The 19,342-nt window shown below is 42.5% G+C and overlaps 1 protein-coding gene and 1 pseudogene across 3 annotated transcripts in view; both read left to right on the top strand.

Moving 5' to 3' along the window:
* The window catches only part of GATAD2B (GATA zinc finger domain containing 2B), a 118,248-nt gene that overhangs the window by 59,366 nt on the left and 39,540 nt on the right, over positions 1-19,342 (top strand). The window lies entirely within an intron of this gene.
* Positions 10,156-11,985, top strand: LOC645965 (adipose differentiation-related protein pseudogene; annotated as a pseudogene).

Here is a 19,342-nt window from a genome sequence, read left to right as displayed (position 1 = left end):
GTACTGGAGAAGGTTGGAAAAATGTAGCTAACTCCTATTCCTTTATTTAATTATGTACTTAGATTGCTTACTTTCCTGTTGTTTTTTTTTTTTTCTTATTTCTTTCTTTTGAGACGGAGGTTCACTGTCGTCACCCAGGCTGGAGTGCATTGGTGTGATCTTGGCTCACTGCAACCTCCACCTCCTGGGTTCAAGTGATTCTCCTGCCTCAGCCTCCCAATTAGCTTGGATTACAGGCATGCACCACCACGCCCAGCTAATTTTTGTATTTTTAGAATTTTGCATTTTTAGTAGAGACAGTTCAAGACCATTTTGCCAGGCTGGTCTTGAACTCCTGACCTCAGGTGATCCACCCGCCTCGGCCCCCCAAACTGTTGGGGTCACAGGCGTGAGCCACCGTGCTCGGCCACTTTCCTGTTTTTCTTTGTGAAAGTTTGGAGCAGTCATTCTTACAGTGCCTAGTAATAACCAGGAGAGAGTAGTAAAAATGCAGATTCCTTAGCCCCACCCAAATAAATTTAATGTCATGAAATAGGGCCTGGGAAGCTGCATTTTAATTTATTTTTTTCTCTTAAAAAAAGTATGCCAGGCGCAGTGCCTCATGCCTATAATCCCAGCACTTTGGGAGGCCGAGGTGGGCAGATCACCTGAGGTCGGGAGTTTGAGATCAGCCTGACCAACATGAAGAAACCCTGTCTCTACTAAAAATACAAAATTAGCCGGGTATGGTGGCGCATGCCTGTAATCCCAGCTACTTGGGAGGCTGAGGCAGGAGAATTGCTTGAACCCGGGAGGTGGAGGTTGTGGTGAGCTGAGATTGCACCATTGCACTCCAGCCTGGGCAACAAGAGCAAAACTCCATTTCAAAAAAAAAAAAAAAAGAAATAAAGTAGAGATTGGCCAGGCGCAGTGGCAAATTAACGCTTTTTCTAAATACTCTCAATTTCTGTGCTTATCTTTTTGCAGTTCATGGAACTGCAGTGGTCAGTGGCCCACACTTTGAGTAACATTGCTCTTCAGAAAATAAAAATGATTGTGTGTGGAAACTGGCAAGCTGGAAGCTAGTTTCTTCTACAAGCCCCAAGAAGACTGATTTTTTCGTCTATAAAATTGAGACAGTTTTACTGCTTTGCTCATCTTTATAGGGATGTTATGAGGATCACATAAGATATAATGTATGTAAAGGCTGGGAGTGATGGCTCATGCCTGTAATCCTGGCACTTTGGGAGGTTGAGGCGGGCGGATCACCTGAGGTCAGAAGTTCGAGACCAGTCTGGCCAACATGGTGAAACCCCGTCTCTACTAAAAATAAAAAAATTAGCTGGGTGTGACGGCATGAGCCTGTAACGTCAGGTACTCAGGAGGCTGAGGCAGGAGAATTGCTTGAACCTGGGAGGTGGAGTTTGCAGTGAGCTGAGATCACGCCGCTGCACTCCATCCTGGGTGACAGAGCAAGACTCAGTCTAAAAAAAAAAAAAAAAAAAAAAAGGATATAATGTATGTAAAATACGTTGTAAACTGAAAAACTAATGTAAGTTATATTCTTCACATTTCTTGAGCAGGTACTCTTTTAGCAACTAGGTATATAGAGATACATGGCAGGGAGCTTATTATTCACATGTATATTAGCCACAAGGTTGCAGTATGCGGAATTGTTTCTGTATCCTAAAAATTTTCCTAGACTTGTGCAGTCCTTCTCTAAACTTTAGTGATATGCATATATATATATACACATATATATACATATATACATATACGTACATACATATATACATATACATATATATACATATGTGTATATATATATATATTTTTTTTTTTTTTTGAAATGGAGTCTCGCTCTGTTGCCCAGGCTGGAGTGCAGTGGTGTGATCTCAGCTCACTGAAACCTCTGCCTCCTGGGTTCAAGTGATTCTTCTGCCTCGACCTCCAAGTAGCTGGGACTACAGGCGTGCACCACCACGCCCGGCTAATTTTTTTTTTTTTTAGTAGAGATGGAGTTTCACCATATTGGCCAGGCTGGTCTCGAACTCCTAACCTCGTGATCCTCCCATCAATCCCAAAGTGTTGAGATTACAGGCATGAGCCACTGTGTCCGGCCGTATTTTTTAAATATATAACTTAATGATGTTTCTTTGAAATGTCTGAGAACCTTTTTTTCCTCTTTTTTTATGTATATATTTCTGATTTTTAAAATAAATAGAGATGGCCCGGGGTGGGAGGCACAGTGGCTCACTATGTTGCCCAGGCTGGTCTTGAACTCCTGGCCTTAAGTGATCCTCCTGCGTTGGCCTTCCAGAGTGCTAGGGTTACAGGCATGAGCCACCAACCTGGGCCTATTTTTACTTTTCTGACAAGTTCTTGAAGGTTATAATATATATATTTTTAATGGATTAGAAGCAATTTGGAGGCAGGCGTCCTTCTCAGTTAAAGTTCTGAGACTCCTTGTATATGGATCCGTTTCTGTTAATCTTAGATTACCCTTTCTTCCGACTTACTCTCAGCTTGAAGTTTGCTGCCTGAAGTAACTCCACACACTTTCTCTCCTCTGCCTAGCTCCTCTTTTTAGAGTATGTTTGCAGGAGACAGAGACCTTTAAAGCCAGTTCATTCAACAAGAAATGTTTTGAGTGCCTGTTATATACTGGTTAGGTGAAAAAGTTAAGAAAATGGGCTGGGCCCCGTGGTTTATGACTTGGAGGCCACGATGGGAGGATCACTTAAGGTCAGGAGTTCAAGAGCAGCCTCAGCAACATAGCAAGACCTGTCTCTACCAAAAATTAGCCATGTGTGGTAGCATGCACCTGTAGTACCAGCTACTTGGGAGGCTGAGTCCAGAGGATCACTTGAGTCCAGGAGTTGGAGATTGCAGTGAACTATGATTGTGCCACGGCACTCCAGCCTGGGTGACAGAAAGAGACCCTGTCTCTCAAAAATAATTTTTTTTAAGTAGATAAGAAAATGAATTTTAACTACCAGTGGCAGTGAGTCGTGCCTGGAATCTTAATGTTTTGGGAGGCCAAGGTGGGAGGATCACCTGAAGCTGGGAGTTTGAGACCAGCCTGGGCAACATAGCAAGACCCAATCTCTGCAAAAAATTTTAAAGTTAGCTGGTTGAGGTGGCACGCACCTGTAGTCCTAGCTCTTCGGGAAGCTAAGGTGGGAGGATTGCCTAACCCTAGGAGTTCAAGGTTACAGGAAGTTTTGATTGCACCACTGCACTCCAGCCTAGGTGACAGAGTGAGGCCCTGTCTTTTGGAAGAAAAAGGAAAGAAAATAGTTTAACTACATACCATTCATGACTTCTGGGTGCTCACAGTTTTCTAAGGGAAATGGACAAGTAATTCAGTAATAAGACACAGAAAATGACATGTTTCCAAAATTCCTTGACAGGCCGAGTGCAAGTGGCTCACACCTGTAATCCCAGCACTTTGGGAGGCCAAGGCAGGTGGATTACTTGAGGTCAGGAGTTCGAGACCAGCCTGGCCAACATGGTGGAACCTTGTCTCTACTGAAAATACAAAAATTAGCTGGGCGTGGTGGCCACACCTGTAATCCCAGCTACTTGGGAGACTGAGGCAGGAGAATCGCTTGAACCTGGGGCAGAGGTTCCAGTGAGCTGAGATCGCGCCAGTGCACTCCAGTCTGGGCAACAGAGCAAGGCTCTGTCTCAAAAAAAAAAAAAAAAAAAAAAAAAAAAGAAAAGAAAAGAAAATTCCTTGACAGCACAAAGAAAGGAAAAATTGCCTGGAGGAATGGAGATAGGGATGACCATATAATTTACCCTCCAAACTAGGACGCTATTAAAGGTGAAAGGAACATTGTTAATCATCATGAGAGAATAAACTGGGACATGTTCTATACAAACTAGGACATATTATTACTCTATTCATAAAAGTAATGTCTATGGTCTTTTTTTTTTTTTATTATTTTTTTTTGAGATGGAGTCTCACTCTGTTACCCAGGCTGGAGTGGAGTGGTGCAGTCTCAGCTCACTGCAGCCTCCACCTCCTGGGTTCAAGCGATTCTCCTGTCTCAGCCTCCCGAGCAGCTGGGATTACAGGCTCGTGCCACTACACCTGGCTAATTTTTGTATTTTTAGTAGAGACAGGGTTTCACTGTGTTGGCCAGGCTGGTCTCGAACTCCTGACCTCAGGTGATCCACCCACCTGGGTCTCCCAAAGTGCCGGGGTTATAGGCATGAGCCGCCTCGCCTCGCCTTGCATGGTCTTTTTTTTTTTTTGAGGTGAAGTCTTGCAGCCACCCAGGCTGGAGTGCAGTGGTGGAATCATGGCTCACTACAGACTAGATCCCCCAGGCTCAAGCAATCCTCCCACCCCAGCCTCCTGAGTAGCTGGAACAACAGGCACACTCCACCACACCTGCCTGATTTCTATTTGTATTTTTAGTGGAAATGGAATCTTGCTATGTTGCCCAGGCTGGTCTTGGACTCTTGAGCTCAATCATCCTACATACCTCGGCCTCCCAAAGTGCTGGGAGCCACTGCACCCTATATAGTCTTAAAGTACCACCCTCCGTCTTGGATTTAGCACTTCATCTGTACCTTTTTACTGTTGCTTGCACAGGCTAAATGCTATCCTGTCTCAAGCAACATCCTTGCTGTGACCTCTACTTGTTACCTCCTCTCCCAGATATTTGCACAGTTCACTTCTGCCCTTAATTCAGGACTTGCTCAAATGTTATTTTTTCTGACAGGACTTTCCTGACCATACTTTTAAGAATAGTCTCTTCCCCTACCCTAACACCACTCTCTGACCCCTTTTCATGTCTAATTTTTTTAATGATACTTACAAATACATAACATACATATATACCCACATACATATGCAATTTGATTGTTTCTCTTTTCTTTTTTGGAGATAGGGTCTTGCCTTGTCACCTAGGCTGGAGTGTAGTGATACAGTCATGGCTCACTTCAGCCTTTACATAGACCCAAGTGATCCTCACGCCTCAGCCTCCTGAGTAGCCGGGGCTTTGTTTATGAGACATGGTCTCGCTCTGTTCCCCAGGCTGGAATGCAATGGCATGATCTCGGCTCACTGCAGCCTTGACCTCCTGAGCTCAAGCGATCCTCCCACCTCAGCCTCCTGGGTAGCTGGGACCGCAGGTGCATGCCACCATCCTGGGCTAATTTTTCTATTTTTTGTAGAGATGGGGCTTTGCCATGTTGCCTAGGCTGGTCTTGAACTCGTGTTTTTTGTAGACATGGGGTTTTGCCATGTTGCCCAGGCTGATCTTGAACTCTTGCCCACCTTGGCCTCCCAAAGTGCTGGGATTACAGGTGTAAGCCACCATGCCCCCAGCCTGATTTCTGGATTTTTAACTCAATAAAGGGAATGATGATGTCTTTATTATAAATATGGACTATAAGAAGAGAAATAAGTTAGATTGGAAGGAAGGATATCCCGTCACTCTCCCATAACTCACCAGGCAGAAGAAAGAACAACCTTATAGGAAGGGGGAAGAATTCAGAACTATCTAGTTTGAGACCTTGATCCTATTCTTGAAGTCAGCCACATTTTAACATTCTTGTTACTGGGCCTCTTCTCTATTTGAGAGCAATTGCATCTCCAGATTTCTCCAGTTACTATATTATCCTTGAATTCACTGTCAAATTATTTGTATTTCTTACAATACTAGGTAGGTGCTTCAAAACTGAATGATTTCAAAAGAATCTTCACTTGACCTCTTCAATGAGATGGAAGTTCTTATTGCTTCCAGCCTTCAGAAAGAAGGTCTTGTTGGATTATCTAATTCAGAGTTTTAAAAAACATTACGTAGGGGTAAACAGGTCTTGGACCTCTGGCTGATTGATGTCTCCTGTGGCAGAAGGCAAACTACAAAGGAGCTCTTCTTCACATGTAAGAATGGATGATGATTTCAGCGCTTCTTGATTATAAATATCTTAAGGACTCATGTTCCAGGACCATTCCAGAGACATCTCTCTCTCCTTTTTTACCTCCCACTTTCTAACTTGATAAGGGGACTATAGTGAATATAGTGACTAAGTTTTACATATTTTATCAATGTGAAAAGTTTATCAGGTGCCACTAATTTAATTAGTGCCTACAGTAGAAAAGGGCATCCGTTTTCTATGAAGGGACACTATATCAAAGGCAAGTTATAATTACACACACACACATTTGAGAGTCTCCCTCTGTCGCCCAGGCTAGAGTGCAGTGGCGCGATCTTGGCTCACTGCAACCTCCGCCTCCCGGGTTCAAGCGATTTTCCTGCCTCAGCCTCCCGAGTAGCTGGGACTCCAAGTGCGCACCACCACACCCAGCTAAATTTTGTATTTTTGGTGGAGACAGGGTTTCACTATGTTGGCCAGGCTGGTCTCAAACTCCTGACCTCAGGTGATCCGCCTGCCTTGGCCTCCTAAAGTGCTGGGCATTGCTGGTGTGAGCCACTGCGCCCGGCCAATTTATATATATATATATATATATGCATATGCATATGTATATTTAAGTTATGCTTTATAAGGAATTATAAAGCATACTGTTTATTCCTTTTTACATACAAAAGGAAGACATAGTAGTCCAGGTTTCTTATCTGATATGTTTTTTCCCCAAGGCAAATAGGGCTGTGATGATTAACATAATCATTTCAGTCTTCAGATGAAACCCTATCATCTGCATGCAAAAAGGAATTTAATCCCTTACAAGCCAACAAGTAACCATATCCATAGTATCTGGAGGGCTAGGCTACTTGCATTTCATACTGCTCAATTAAATGTCATGGACTGTCCATGTTCTGCCACATTACTTTCCAGTTCTGAGTGGTCAAGTTAAAGGCATTCTTTTTTCTTTCTTTCTTTTTTTTGGTTAGTTGGTTTATTTATTAGAGATGGGGGTCTCGCTATGTTGCCCAGATCTTGAACTCTTGGCCTCAAGTGATCCTTCCACCTCAGTTTCCCAAAGTGCTGGGATTACAGGTGTGTGCTACCGTGCTCAGTAGACATTTTTAGAAAAAGGAATCCATTGTGTTCAGCTTATTTGTTTTAATTTTTTTAATCTTAAAGTTTTAAATGTTTTTAGTTTTTAAATTTTAAATTGAAAATATTTAAGCATATAGAAAAATAGAGTAGTACGAGCAACAGCTGTGTAACTACCATCTTGTTCAGCAGTGAATATTTTGCCATATTTGCTTGGCACATACCAATATGCTGTTGATATATAGCATAAACATTTTTTCTAAACCACTTCAAAGTAAGTTTTAGACTTTCACCTCTAAATACTTAAGATTGCTGTGGTAGGCAAAATAATGCCCCTTCTCCCAAGATGTCTATACTCCAGCCCCCATAACCTGTGAATATGTTCCGTTTCATGGCAACAGAGAATTAAGATGGCAGATGGAATTAAGGTTGCTAATCAGTTGACCTTAAAATGTGGAAATTATTCTAGATTATCCAGGTGGGCCAATATAATCATAAGGGTCCTAAAGGAGGCAGAAGAGTGTCAAAGAGTTGGCAGTCAGAGGAGTAGGCCTGATACTTGAAGATGAGGAAAGTGGCCATGAACCCAGCAGAGTAGATTGTCTGTAGCAGGGAACAGCAGGACAATGGATTTTCCTCTAGAGACTCCAGAAGAAATGTAGGAGCTGACTGGGCACGGTGACTCATGCCTGTAATCCCAGCACTTTGGGAGGCCAAGGCGGATGAATCAGTTGAGGCCAGGAGTTCGAGACCAGCCTGGGCAACATGGCAAAAACCCATCTTTACAAAAAATACAAAAATTAGCTGGGCGTGGTGATGCGCACCTGTAGTCCCAGCTACTCCCAGTCCCAGAGGCTGAGGTGGGAGAATCGCTTGAGCTGCAGGAGGCAGAGGTTGCAGTGAGCCGAGATCATGCCACTGTACTCCAGCCCAGGTGACAGAGCCAGACCCTGTGTAAAAAAAAAATATATAAAATAAGTAGGAGCCATACTCATACCTTGAATTTAGCCTAATTAGACCCATTTTAGACTTAATGACTTTCTGAATGAAAGGTAATACAATTTGTATTGTGTTTAAGCCACTAAATTTGTGGTAATTTATTATAGCAGCCATAGAAAACTAATAGTAGGCTGGGCTCACGCCCGTAATCCCAGCACTTTGGGAGGGGGAAGGTGGGTGGATCACTAGAGGTCAGGAGTTTGAGACCTGCCTGGCCAACATAGGAAAACCCTGTCTCTACTAAAAATACAAAAATTAGCCGGGCGTGGGGACACCTGTCTGTAATCCCAGCTACTCGGGAGGCTGAGGTGAGAGAATCACTTGAGCCCAGGAGGCAGAAGTTACAGTGAGCTGAGATCTTGCACTCCAGTCTGGGCAACAGAGCAAGACTCTGTCTCAAAAACAACAACAACAAAAAAAAAAAACAAAAAGAAAGCTAATGCTACAGTTACGTTTCAAAAAAATACGGACAATCTCCTATTCAACCACAATACCATTATAACCAACAAGATTAATAATAATTCCCTAATATTATTTAATACTTAGTCCATTTGAAAATTTACCCAGTTCCCCATAGTATCTTTTGTAGCTGTGTTTAAACCAAGATTCAATCAAAGATTATACATTATATTTGATTATGTCTGTAAGTCTCTCTTAACCTAGAACAGTCTGTATCACCACCTCTTTTTTTTTATATCAACTTTTTTGAAGAGACCGTGCTCATTGATTTGAAATATGTTCCACATTGTAGATTTGTCAGATTGTTTCCATGTTAATTGTCTCAATGCCTGCAGTGAAAAGTTTGATCCCTACGGTAAGGTAACAGCAAGATTGTTCCATTGTTAAGATGTGTTTTTCCTTTTGCAATTAGTCGTCTGTGGAGTTATTTTGTTTATATGAACTGAACTAGTTCTTATGAAAATAAATGTTAAATTTCCAGACCAGCATATTTTATAATGGCAGTATAATAGACTATATAACCTAAAACACTTCTGCTATTTCATTACAAAACACCTAGTAATGCTGGATGAAATGTAACAACTATTTTTTAATTTTTAAACAAACTTTTAAAAATGTATAGCTAGTTGAGCCTGAAAGAATTAAGGAAAATTCTCAGGGACTGCAAATGAAAGAGGAACTGAAAATGAGCAGTATGCATGTTACTTAATGCTGTGGTATTTCTGGGTGCTTTGCCTAGTCTCAGTTACTGAAAGGCTTGGTTTTTGTTTGTTTGTTTGTTTGTTTTTTGAGACGGAGTCTTGCTCTGTCGCCCAGGCTGGAGTGCAGTGGCAAGATCTCGGCTCACTGCAAGCTCCACCTCCCGGGTTCACACCATTCTCCTCTCTCAGCCTCCCGAGTAGCTGGGACTACAGGTGCCCACCACCAAGCCCAGCTAATTTTTTTGTATTTTTAGTAGAGACGGGGTTTTACCATGTTAGCCAGGACGGTCTCGATCTCCTGACCTCACGATCCGCCCGTTTCAGCCTCCCAAAGTGCTGGGATTACAGGTGTGAGCCACCGTGCCTGGCCTAAAGGCTTCGTTTTAATGTCCATGAGCCTTAGGCCTGTATGGAACAGAGTTAGAAATGCAAATCTCTATATAAAGCAGGGAGCCTTGAAGGTTCATACTCAAGAGAAAGGAAGGGACCACAGAAAATTCCATCTACTAGTTTGAGGAAACAAGGAAACTTCTGTGTCTCAGCTTGGGCTCTGGCTGGGGGTAGATGGGAATGTCTCCTGAAAATTTATGTTTGGACTCAAGAATATACAATAAGGAAAGGATCAATAGGGCAAGGATAGTCCCTCCAACAAATGTTGTTGGGAAAAGTGGATATCCACAGCAAAATAATGAAATTATCTTGTACTGTACACAAAAATCAACCCAAAATGGATTAAAGAGTTAAACATAAGACCTGAAACTATAAAACTCATAAGAAGAAAACAGGGAAAAAGCATTATGACATTGGTCTTGGCAATGATTTCGTGGATATGACATCAAAAACACAGGCAACAAAAGCAAGTGGAACTGCATCAACCTAAAAAGCTTCTGCACAGCAAACAGCAGAATGGAAAGGCAATCTACAAAATGTGAGGAAATGTTTGTGAACCATATATTTGATAAGGGGTTAATCTCCAACATATGTAAGGAACTCATACAACTCAGTAGCAAAAAATATATGTATATTAAAAAATAGGCGCTTCACTGCCGTCCGTTGATTTATTTCTCCAGGAAGAAAAATGGCATCTGTTGCAGTTGATCCACAACTGAGTGTGATGACTCGGGTGGTCAACCTGCCCTTGATGAGCTCCACATATGACCCCATGTCCTCAGCCCATGTCAGTACAAAGGACCAGTGTCCTACTTGAAGTCTGTGTGTGAGATGGCAGGGAAGGGTGTGAAGACCATCACCTCGGTGGCCATGACCAGTGTGCTCTGCCCATCATCCAGAAGCTAGAGCTGCAAATTGCAGTTGCCAATATCCGTGTCTGTAAGGGGCTAGACAGGATTGAGGAGAGACTGCCTATTCTGAATCAGCCATCAACTCAGGTTGTTGCCAATGCCAAAGGTGCTGTGACTGGGGCAAAAGATGCTGTGACGACTACTGTGACTGGGGCCAAGGATTCATCACAGGGTTGATGGACAAGACCAAAGGGGTAGTGACTGGCACTGTGGAGAAGACCCAAGTCTGTGTCAGTGGCAGCATTAACACAAGCTTAGGAAGTCAGATAATGCAGCTCATGAGCAGTGGCTTGGAACATGCGCTCACCAAATCAGAGCTCTTGGTAGGACAGTACCTCCCTCTCACTGGGGAAGAACTAGAAAAAGAAGCAAAAAAAGTTGAAGGATATGATATGGTTCAGAAGCCAAGTTGTTATGTTAGACTGGGATCCCTGTCTACCAAGCTTCACTCCCTGTCTACCAAGCTTCACTTCGTATGAGCAGGCTCTCAGCAGGGTTAAAGAAGCTAAGCAAAAAAGCCAAGAGACCATTTCTCAGCTCCGTTCTTCTGTTCACTTGATTGAATTTGCCAGGAAGAGTGTGCATAGTGCCAATCAGAAAATTCAGGATGCTCAGGATAAGCTCTAGCTCTCATGGGTGGAGTGGAAAAGGAATATTGGATACGATGATACTGATGAGTCCCACTGTGCAGAGCACATCGAGTCACGTACTCTTGCTATTGCCTGCAACCTGACTTAGCAGCTCCAGACCACATGCCACGGCCTTCTGTCCAACATCCATGATGACCACAGAACATCCAAGGTCAGGCCAAGCATATGAGGGTGATGGCAGGCGACATCTACTCAGTGTTCTGCAATGCTGCCTCCTTTGAGGAAGTGTCTGACAGCCTCCACTTCTAGCAAGGGGCAGCTGCAGAAAATGAAGGAATCTTTAGATGACTTGATGGATTTCTTGTTAACAACATGCCCCTCAACTGGCTGGTAGGTCCCTTTCACCCTCAACTGACTGAGTCTCAGAATGCTTAGGACCAAAGTGCAGAGATGGACAAGAGCAGCCAGGAGGCCCAGCGATCTGAGCACAAAACTCATTAAACTTGCCCCTGTCACCAGTGAATGATGCGGCCAGCCAGTTAACACCTTTCGTTATGTTGAAATTAACCCTGCTAGGCAACCCTAAATTGGGAAGCAAGTAGCTAGTAAAAAGGCCCTCAATTATAGTTATTTCCAGCTGGATTAAGAGCTTTAAAGTTTCTGGCTTTAGCAGATGATTTCTGTTCACCTGGTAAGAAAAGAATGCTAGGCTTGTTAGAGCCTAGCCAGAACTCACAAAAAATTCAAGTGCACTTATGTTCTCATTCTGTGGCCATTGTGTTACCCTCTGTTACTGTTTGTGTTGAATAAAAACATCTTCATGCGGGCTGGGGTAGAAACTGGTGTCTGCTCTGGTATGATCTGAGCAGGCCTCTTTACTGATTTATCTCATGATGATTGCTTGTACAACTTGATTTTAGTTTTTTATTTCTCAAATAGGAATACTACCTTTGAATTCAATATAATTCACTGTAAGATTAAAAAAAAAATGGACAAAGGACCTGAATAGACATTCTCCAAAGAAGACATAAAAGTGGCCAAGTATATGAAAAATTGCTCAACATTGCTAATCATCAGAGAAGTACACATCAAAACCACAATGAAATATCATCACTTCACACCTGTCAATGTCAAGATGGCTATTTTTTTTAAGTGGCAAGGGAGTGAAGAAATTGGAACCCTTGCACACTGTTGGTGGGAATGCAAAATGGTACAAGCGGCCACTATGGAAAACAGTATGGAGGTTCCTTGACATATTAAATATAGAACTACCAGATGGTCTAGCAATCATGCTTCTAGATATTTATCCAAAATAAAATCAGGATCCCAAAGAGTGACAACATGGATGAAGCTTGAGGACATTATGCTAAGGGAAATAATACAGTCACAGAAAGATAAATAACTATGTGAGTCTACTTATGTGAGGTATCTAGTCAGATTCATAGGTTGACAGAGTCAAATGGTGGTTGCCAAAGGCTGAGGGGGAGGAGAAATTGGGGAGTTGCTAAACAATGTATGTAAAATTAATGTCAAACGGGAAAAAGCTCTAGAGATCTGCCATACAACACTGTACCTATAGTCAACATTAATGTATTGTACACTTGAAAATTTGTTAAGAGGGTAGATCTTGTGTTAAGTGTTTTTACCACAATAAAACAAAAAAAAACTTTTTTTTTTTTGAGGTGGAGTCTTGCTCTGTCACCCAGGCTGTAGTGTAGTGGCGCGTTCCCGGCTCACTGCAACCTCCGCCTCCTAGGTTCAAGCGATTCTCCTGCCGCAGCCTCCTGAGTAGCTGAGATTATAGGCGCACACCACCACGCCTGGCTAATTTTTGTTTATTTAGTAGAGACGAAGTTTCACTATGTTGGCCAGGCTGGTCTCAAACTCCTTCACCTCAAGCAATCCGCCTGCGTAGGCCTCCCAAAGTGCTGGGATTACAGGTGTGAGCCACCGCACCTGGCCAACAAACAATTTTTTAAAAATTAAGTATGGGCTTATTAGGCTGAGCGCAGTGGCTCACACCTGTAATCCCAGCATTTTGGGAGGCTGATGTGGGCGGATCACTTGAGGTCAGGAGTTCGAGACCACCCTCGCCAACATAGTGATACCTGGTCTCTACTGAAAATACAAAAATTAGCTGGGTATGGTGGCGGATGCCTGTAATCCCAGCTACTCAGGAGGCTGAGGCAGGAGGATCACTTGAACCCGGGAGGTGAAGGCTGCAGTGAGCCAAGTTTGTGCCACTGCATTGCAGCCTGGGCAACAGAGTGAGACTCTGTCCTAAAAAGGAAAAATAATTAAGTATGGGCTTATTTGTGTGGGTTTAAATTATTATCACCAGCTTGGTCTGAGATCCCCAAACTGGGAAATGAATATAAAAAAATTATTCAGGACCCTGTATAATACCCTTGGGGTAACCAGCGGAAGCATATGTAAAGCTACTCTGGAGGAACAGATCCACAGTTTAAGCCACACAGGATTCTAACAGATAAAATCCCACTGAATAACCCACTTGATTGTGACAAGGCTCATAATCAAAAGTGACAAAAAATAAGAAAACAGCTCATTTACCATGAATAAGAGTCACAGATACACTACCTCTCAGGACTAGATCTCCAGTTCATTGACTATAGACCATAGAATAAGTGCATTTAAAAGGATTAAATACAGCCAGGCATGGTAGCTCATGCCTGTAATCCCAGCACTTTGGGAGGCCAAGCCAGGCGGATCACCTGAGGTCAGGAGTTCAAGACCAGCCTGGCCAACATGGTGAGACCTAACCTCTGCTAAAAATACAAAACATTAGCTGGGTGAGGTGGCACATGTCTGTAATCCCAGCTACTCAGGAGGCTGAGGCAGGAGAATCGCTTGAAACCGGAAGGAGGGGGTTGCAGTGAGCCAAGATCACGCCACTGTACTGCAGCCTGGGTGAAAGAGTGAAACTGTCTCAAAAAAAGAAAAAACAAGGTCAAATTTAAAATATATTTGGAAGGTAATGCTGATAGAGTTTACAGATAGAATGCATGTGGGTATGAGAAAGAGGAACTAAGAATGACTCCAAGTGTTTGGTTTGAATAGTGGTGTCATTTGCTAAGATGTGTAACAGTAGGGGAAGAAACAATTTTGGACATAAGATTATAAAATGCCTGTTAGATATCTGCTATCTTGTGAATGTTTGTCCCTCCAAAATTCATGTTGAAATTTAATTGACATTGTAATAATATTAAGAAGTGGGACCTTTAAGAAGTGATTAAGTTGTTAGGGCTTTACCCTCATGGGTGGGATTAATGTTGTTATAAAAGGGCACCCTCTCTTTGCCATCTGCTATGTTATTAGATGGCAAGAAGGTCTTCACCACATGCCAGTACCTTGATGTTAGGCTTCCCAACTTCTGGAACTGTGTGCCAATAAATAGCCAATAAACTTCTGGTCATTATAAAGTGCCCAAAGCTGGGTACGGTGACATACACCCATAGCCCCAGCTACCTGGGATGCTGAGGTGGGAGGATCATTTGAGCTCAAGGAGTTTGGCAACATGGAGAGACTCCATCTCTAAACAAAACAAAACAGAACACACACACCCACATACCCCTATATAAATTACCCAGTCTGGGGGAGGGGGGGGGTTTGTTTGTTTTTTGCTTTGTTTTGAGATGAGTCTCGCTGTTGCCCAGGCCAGAGTGCAGTGGCGCGATATTGGCTCACTGCAACCTCTGCCTCCCGGGTTCAAGCAGTTCTCTGCCTCAGCCTTCTGAGTAGCTGGGATTACAGGCACCCACCACCACACCTGGCTAATTTTTTTGTACTTTCAGTAGGGACGGGGTTTCACCATCTTGACCAGGCTGTTCTTGAACTCCTGACCTCATGATCCACCCGCCTCGGCCTCCCAAAGTGCTTGAAGTACAGGCGTTAGCCACCATGCATAATGGACTAAGACAACACCCAAATGGAGATGTTAGGCAATTGACTACATGAAGAGAGTTTCGGAGGAGAATGACAGCTAGGAATATCAATTTGAGAATTAGTATATAAATGCTATTTAAAACCATGGGAACACTTCATTTTTACAGTTAGAAGGTGGAAAGATGAGTAGAAACTAGTGAAGACTAAGAATAAAGGATCATGAGTGTAGAATAAGACCCAGAGATGTGAAGTCCCAAAAGCCAAGTGAAGAAAGCAGTTCAAGAAGGAAGGAAGATTGAGTTGATAAAATGCTGCTGAAAGTTCAAATAAGATAAGGATTGGTAAATAATTATTGGACTTGGCAACATGAAGGTAATTAGTGACCTGGAAAAAATAATCTCTTTATATTGAGGGAATAAAACCTGAACTGAAGTGGTTTTAAGCCAGAAGAAAGAGACAATGAGTATAGGTAACTCTTGAGGAATTTTGCTGTAGAAGGGTTCAGGGACATGGGGCAGTGACTGGAATACGACAGGAAGTCATGGGAAGAATTTTCTAAGGTGTAAGAAATACTATACCAAGTTGGTATGGTGAGGGGATGATTCTCAACACTGGCTAAATAATAGAACTAACTGGGGAATTTATTAAAGGATAGCTGCATGAGTTCAATGGCAGACTGATTAAATCAAATCTTTGGGAATTGGACCATGGTATCAGTATGTTTGTTTGTTTTACAGTTACTCAGATGATTCTAATATGCATCCAAAGTTGATCTGCTTTGGAGCAGATCAGTCAAATTAACTCGTTATATAAGTTAAACAGTATATCCAACACAGTTGAAAATTAGGAACAATAGAAATTACACAGAATGCAGCATAGATATATTAAAAATGGAAAATATGAAAAAAAGAGATGAGACATGGACAGTAGAATGAGATGGTCCAAGATATATCTCATAGGAGTTCTAGGGAAGGGTAGAGAAAATGGAGAGTAGCAACATTCAAAGAGATAATAGCAGAAAATTTCACAGAATTTCTAAGTATATGAATCTTCAAGGAAAAAAAAAATAGTGAATCCTGAAAGAATAACACTAAAGACAAAGATCTTATGAAAGCAGCCAAATAGATTACTGTGAAGGAATGAAAATTAGGCCGGGCTCAGTGATTCATGCCTGTAATCTCAGTGCTTTGGGAGGCCTAAAGAGGAGGATCACTTGAGTTCAGGAGTGAGGCTGCAGTAAGCTATGATTTTACCAGTGCGCTTCAGGCTGGGTGATAGAGGGAGACTCCATCTCAAAAAGATGTGGTCTTTTTTACTTATCTACAGAAGTGTGTCTAGTTTCTCAGCTGTAAGCATTCAGAGGTCAGGGACTAAATACAATAATTAAGTACAATGTTGCAAAAATACTGACATTAAAAATAGAAGTTCCAGGCCAGGCACAGTAGGTCAGACCTGTAATCCCAGCACTTTGGGAGGCTGAGGCAGGCGGATCACTTGAGGCCAGGAGTTCAAGACCAGCCTGGCCAACATGGCGAAACCCTGTCTCCACTAAAAATACAAAAACTAGCCAGGTGTGGTGGTGCACGTCTGTAGGCTCAGTTACTTGGGAGGCTGAGGCACAAGAATCACTTAAAACCAGGAAGCAGAGGTTGCAGTGAGCCAGGAGATTGTGCCATCGCACTCCAACCTGGGTGACAGAGCAATACTCCGTCAAAATAAAATAAAATAGCTTTGACTGTATGTAACACACTAATCATGACTAATTCGTTGGAACTAAAAATGAGATAGGACTGAAATAAAAAATAAGAATTTAATAGAAGGCATAAAAGAGCAAGAAGGGCCAGGTGCGGTGGCTCACGCCTGTAATCCCAGCACTTGGGGAGGCCGCAGCAGGTGGATCACGAGGTCAGAAGTTCGAGACCAGCCTGGCCAACCTGGTGAAACCCCGTCTCTACTAAAAATACAAAAATTAGCCAGGAGTGGTGGCGGATGCCTGTAATCCCAGCTACTCGGGAGGCTGAGGCAGAGAATTGCTTGAACCCAGGAGGCGGAGATTGCAGTGAGCCGAGATCGCGCGACTGCATTCCAGCCTGGGCGACAGAGTGAGACTCCATCTCAAAAAAAAAAAAAAAAAAAAAAGAACGCAAAGAACAAGAAGGGGTTGGACACGGTGGCTAATGCCTGTAATCCTAGCACTTTAGGAGGCTGAGATGGGAGGATCACTTGAGGCCAGGAGTTCGAGTCCAGCGTGGCCAATATGGTGAAACCCCATCTCTACAAAAAAAATACAAAAAGATTAGCTGGGCACTGGTGGCACACACCTGTAATCCCAGCTACTTTGGAGGCTGAGGCAGAAGAATCACTTGAACCTCGGAGGCAGAGGTTGCAGTGAGTCAGGTTCACACCACTGCACCCCAGCCTGGGTGACAGAGTGAGACTGTCTCAAAACAAACATAGCAAGAAGGAAGCACAGAACAAGCAAGGTAAATAGAACAGAAGATGGTAGAAATAAAACTAAATATGTTAGTGATCATGAGAAGTGTAAACTAGTCAGTTTTTTAGAAATGGTTTAATGGAAAAACAAATTCAGATAAATACTGTCGAAAACATAAAGGTGTAGAAATTGAAATTAACAACGAAAAAAATGTTGTAGGTAAATATTAACCAGAAAGTTAATGTCACCATACTAATATAAGACAAACTTTAAGGCAAAAAAAGTTATTAAGGGAACAGTTTTGGGGCGGGGGGGGGGCGGTAGTTTATAGAGATAGTGTCTTGCTCTATTATCCAGTGGAGTACAATGGTGCAATCATGGTAAACTGCAGTCTCAAACACCAGAGCTTAAACAATCCTTCCACCTCAGCTTCCTGAGTAGCTGGAACTGTGGACGCATGCCACCATGCCTGGTAATTTTTATTTATTTATTTATTTATTTTTTTGAGATAGAGTCTTGCTCTGTCACCCAGGCTTGAGTGCAGTGGTGCAATTGCTCACTGCAGCCTCAACCTCCCAGGCTCAAGCAGTCCTCCCACCTCACCCCCCCTTGCAGCCCCCCGCCAAAGTAGCTGGAACTGTAGGCGTGCACTACCACACCTGGCTAATTTTTTATATTTTATAAATGTGGGGTTTTGTCATGTTGCCCAGGCTGGTCTTGAACTCCTGAGCTCATGGGATCCACCCGTCTCAGCCTCCCAAAGTGCTGGGATTATAGGTGTGAGCCACCACCACGCCCAGCCTAATGTTTTAAATTAATGGTAGAGACAGGCTATCACTATTTTGCATAGGCTGGAATTTTTTTTTTTTTCTTTTTTTTACTGATACAGGGTCTGGCTCTGTTGTCCAGGCAGGAGTTCAGTGGCTTGATCAGGCTCACTGCAGCCTCAGCCTCCTGTGCTTGAGCAATTCTCATTGAACTGTCTTGGCACCCTTGTTGAAAAATCAATTGACCGTAAATATTAGGGTGTATTTCTGAGTTTTTTTCCATTGATCACATATCTGTCTTTAAGCCAGTACCACACTATTGTTATATCCATTGTAGTTTTCATCTCAGACACTGGTTTTCATCTCTAGAAGTTTGATTTGAGTCTTTTTGTACATCTTCCATTTCTCTGCGTAACTTTTTGAAAATATGGAATGCAGTTACAATATTAATATCTGTTTTAAAGTCATTTTAATTCTAACAGAATTAGTTCTGGGTAAATAGATTTCTTCTGATTGATTATTCTTCTCATTAGGGGTCATGTTTTCTTGCCTCTTTGCAAGCCTGTTAATCTTTTTTTTTTTTATTATACTTTAAGTTTTAGGGTACATGTGCACATTGTGCAGGTTAGTTACATATGTATACATGTGCCATGCTGGTGGGCTGCACCCACTAACTCGTCATCTAGCCTTAGGTATATCTCCCAATGCTATCCCTCCCCCCTCCCCCCACCCCACCACAGTCCCCAGAGTGTGGTATTCCCTTTCGTGTGTCCATGTGATCTCATTGTTCAATTCCCACCTATGAGTGAGAATATACGGTGTTTGGTTTTTTGTTCTTGCGATAGTTTACTGAGAATGATGATTTCCAATTTCATCCATGTCCCTACAAAGGATATGAACTCATCATTTTTTATGGCTGCATAGTATTCCAAGCCTGTTAATCTTTAATCAAATTCCAGATATTGTGAATTTTATATTTTTGGGTGCTGGATTATTTTTATTCCTATAAATCTTGAGGGTTGATTTGCAATTCAGTTATTGTATTTGTCAACTTTGCTTTTTTTTTTTTTTTTTATAATTTGTTAGGCCAGTACTTAAACTAAGCAGTACTTAGTTTAGGGCTAAAAATTCCCTAGTGCTAAGGTAGGACTTTCCTGTGCACTCTACCCGATACCCCATAAATTGAGTTTTTCTAATCTGGCTACTAAGAACAGGCACTATTCCTGGCCCC

The sequence above is a fragment of the Homo sapiens genome, chromosome 1, assembly GCF_000001405.40.
Source record: "Homo sapiens chromosome 1, GRCh38.p14 Primary Assembly".
NCBI lineage: Eukaryota > Metazoa > Chordata > Mammalia > Primates > Hominidae > Homo > Homo sapiens.
Note: the sequence above shows the minus strand (reverse complement) of the source record. Positions and strands in the feature narration are given on the sequence as shown.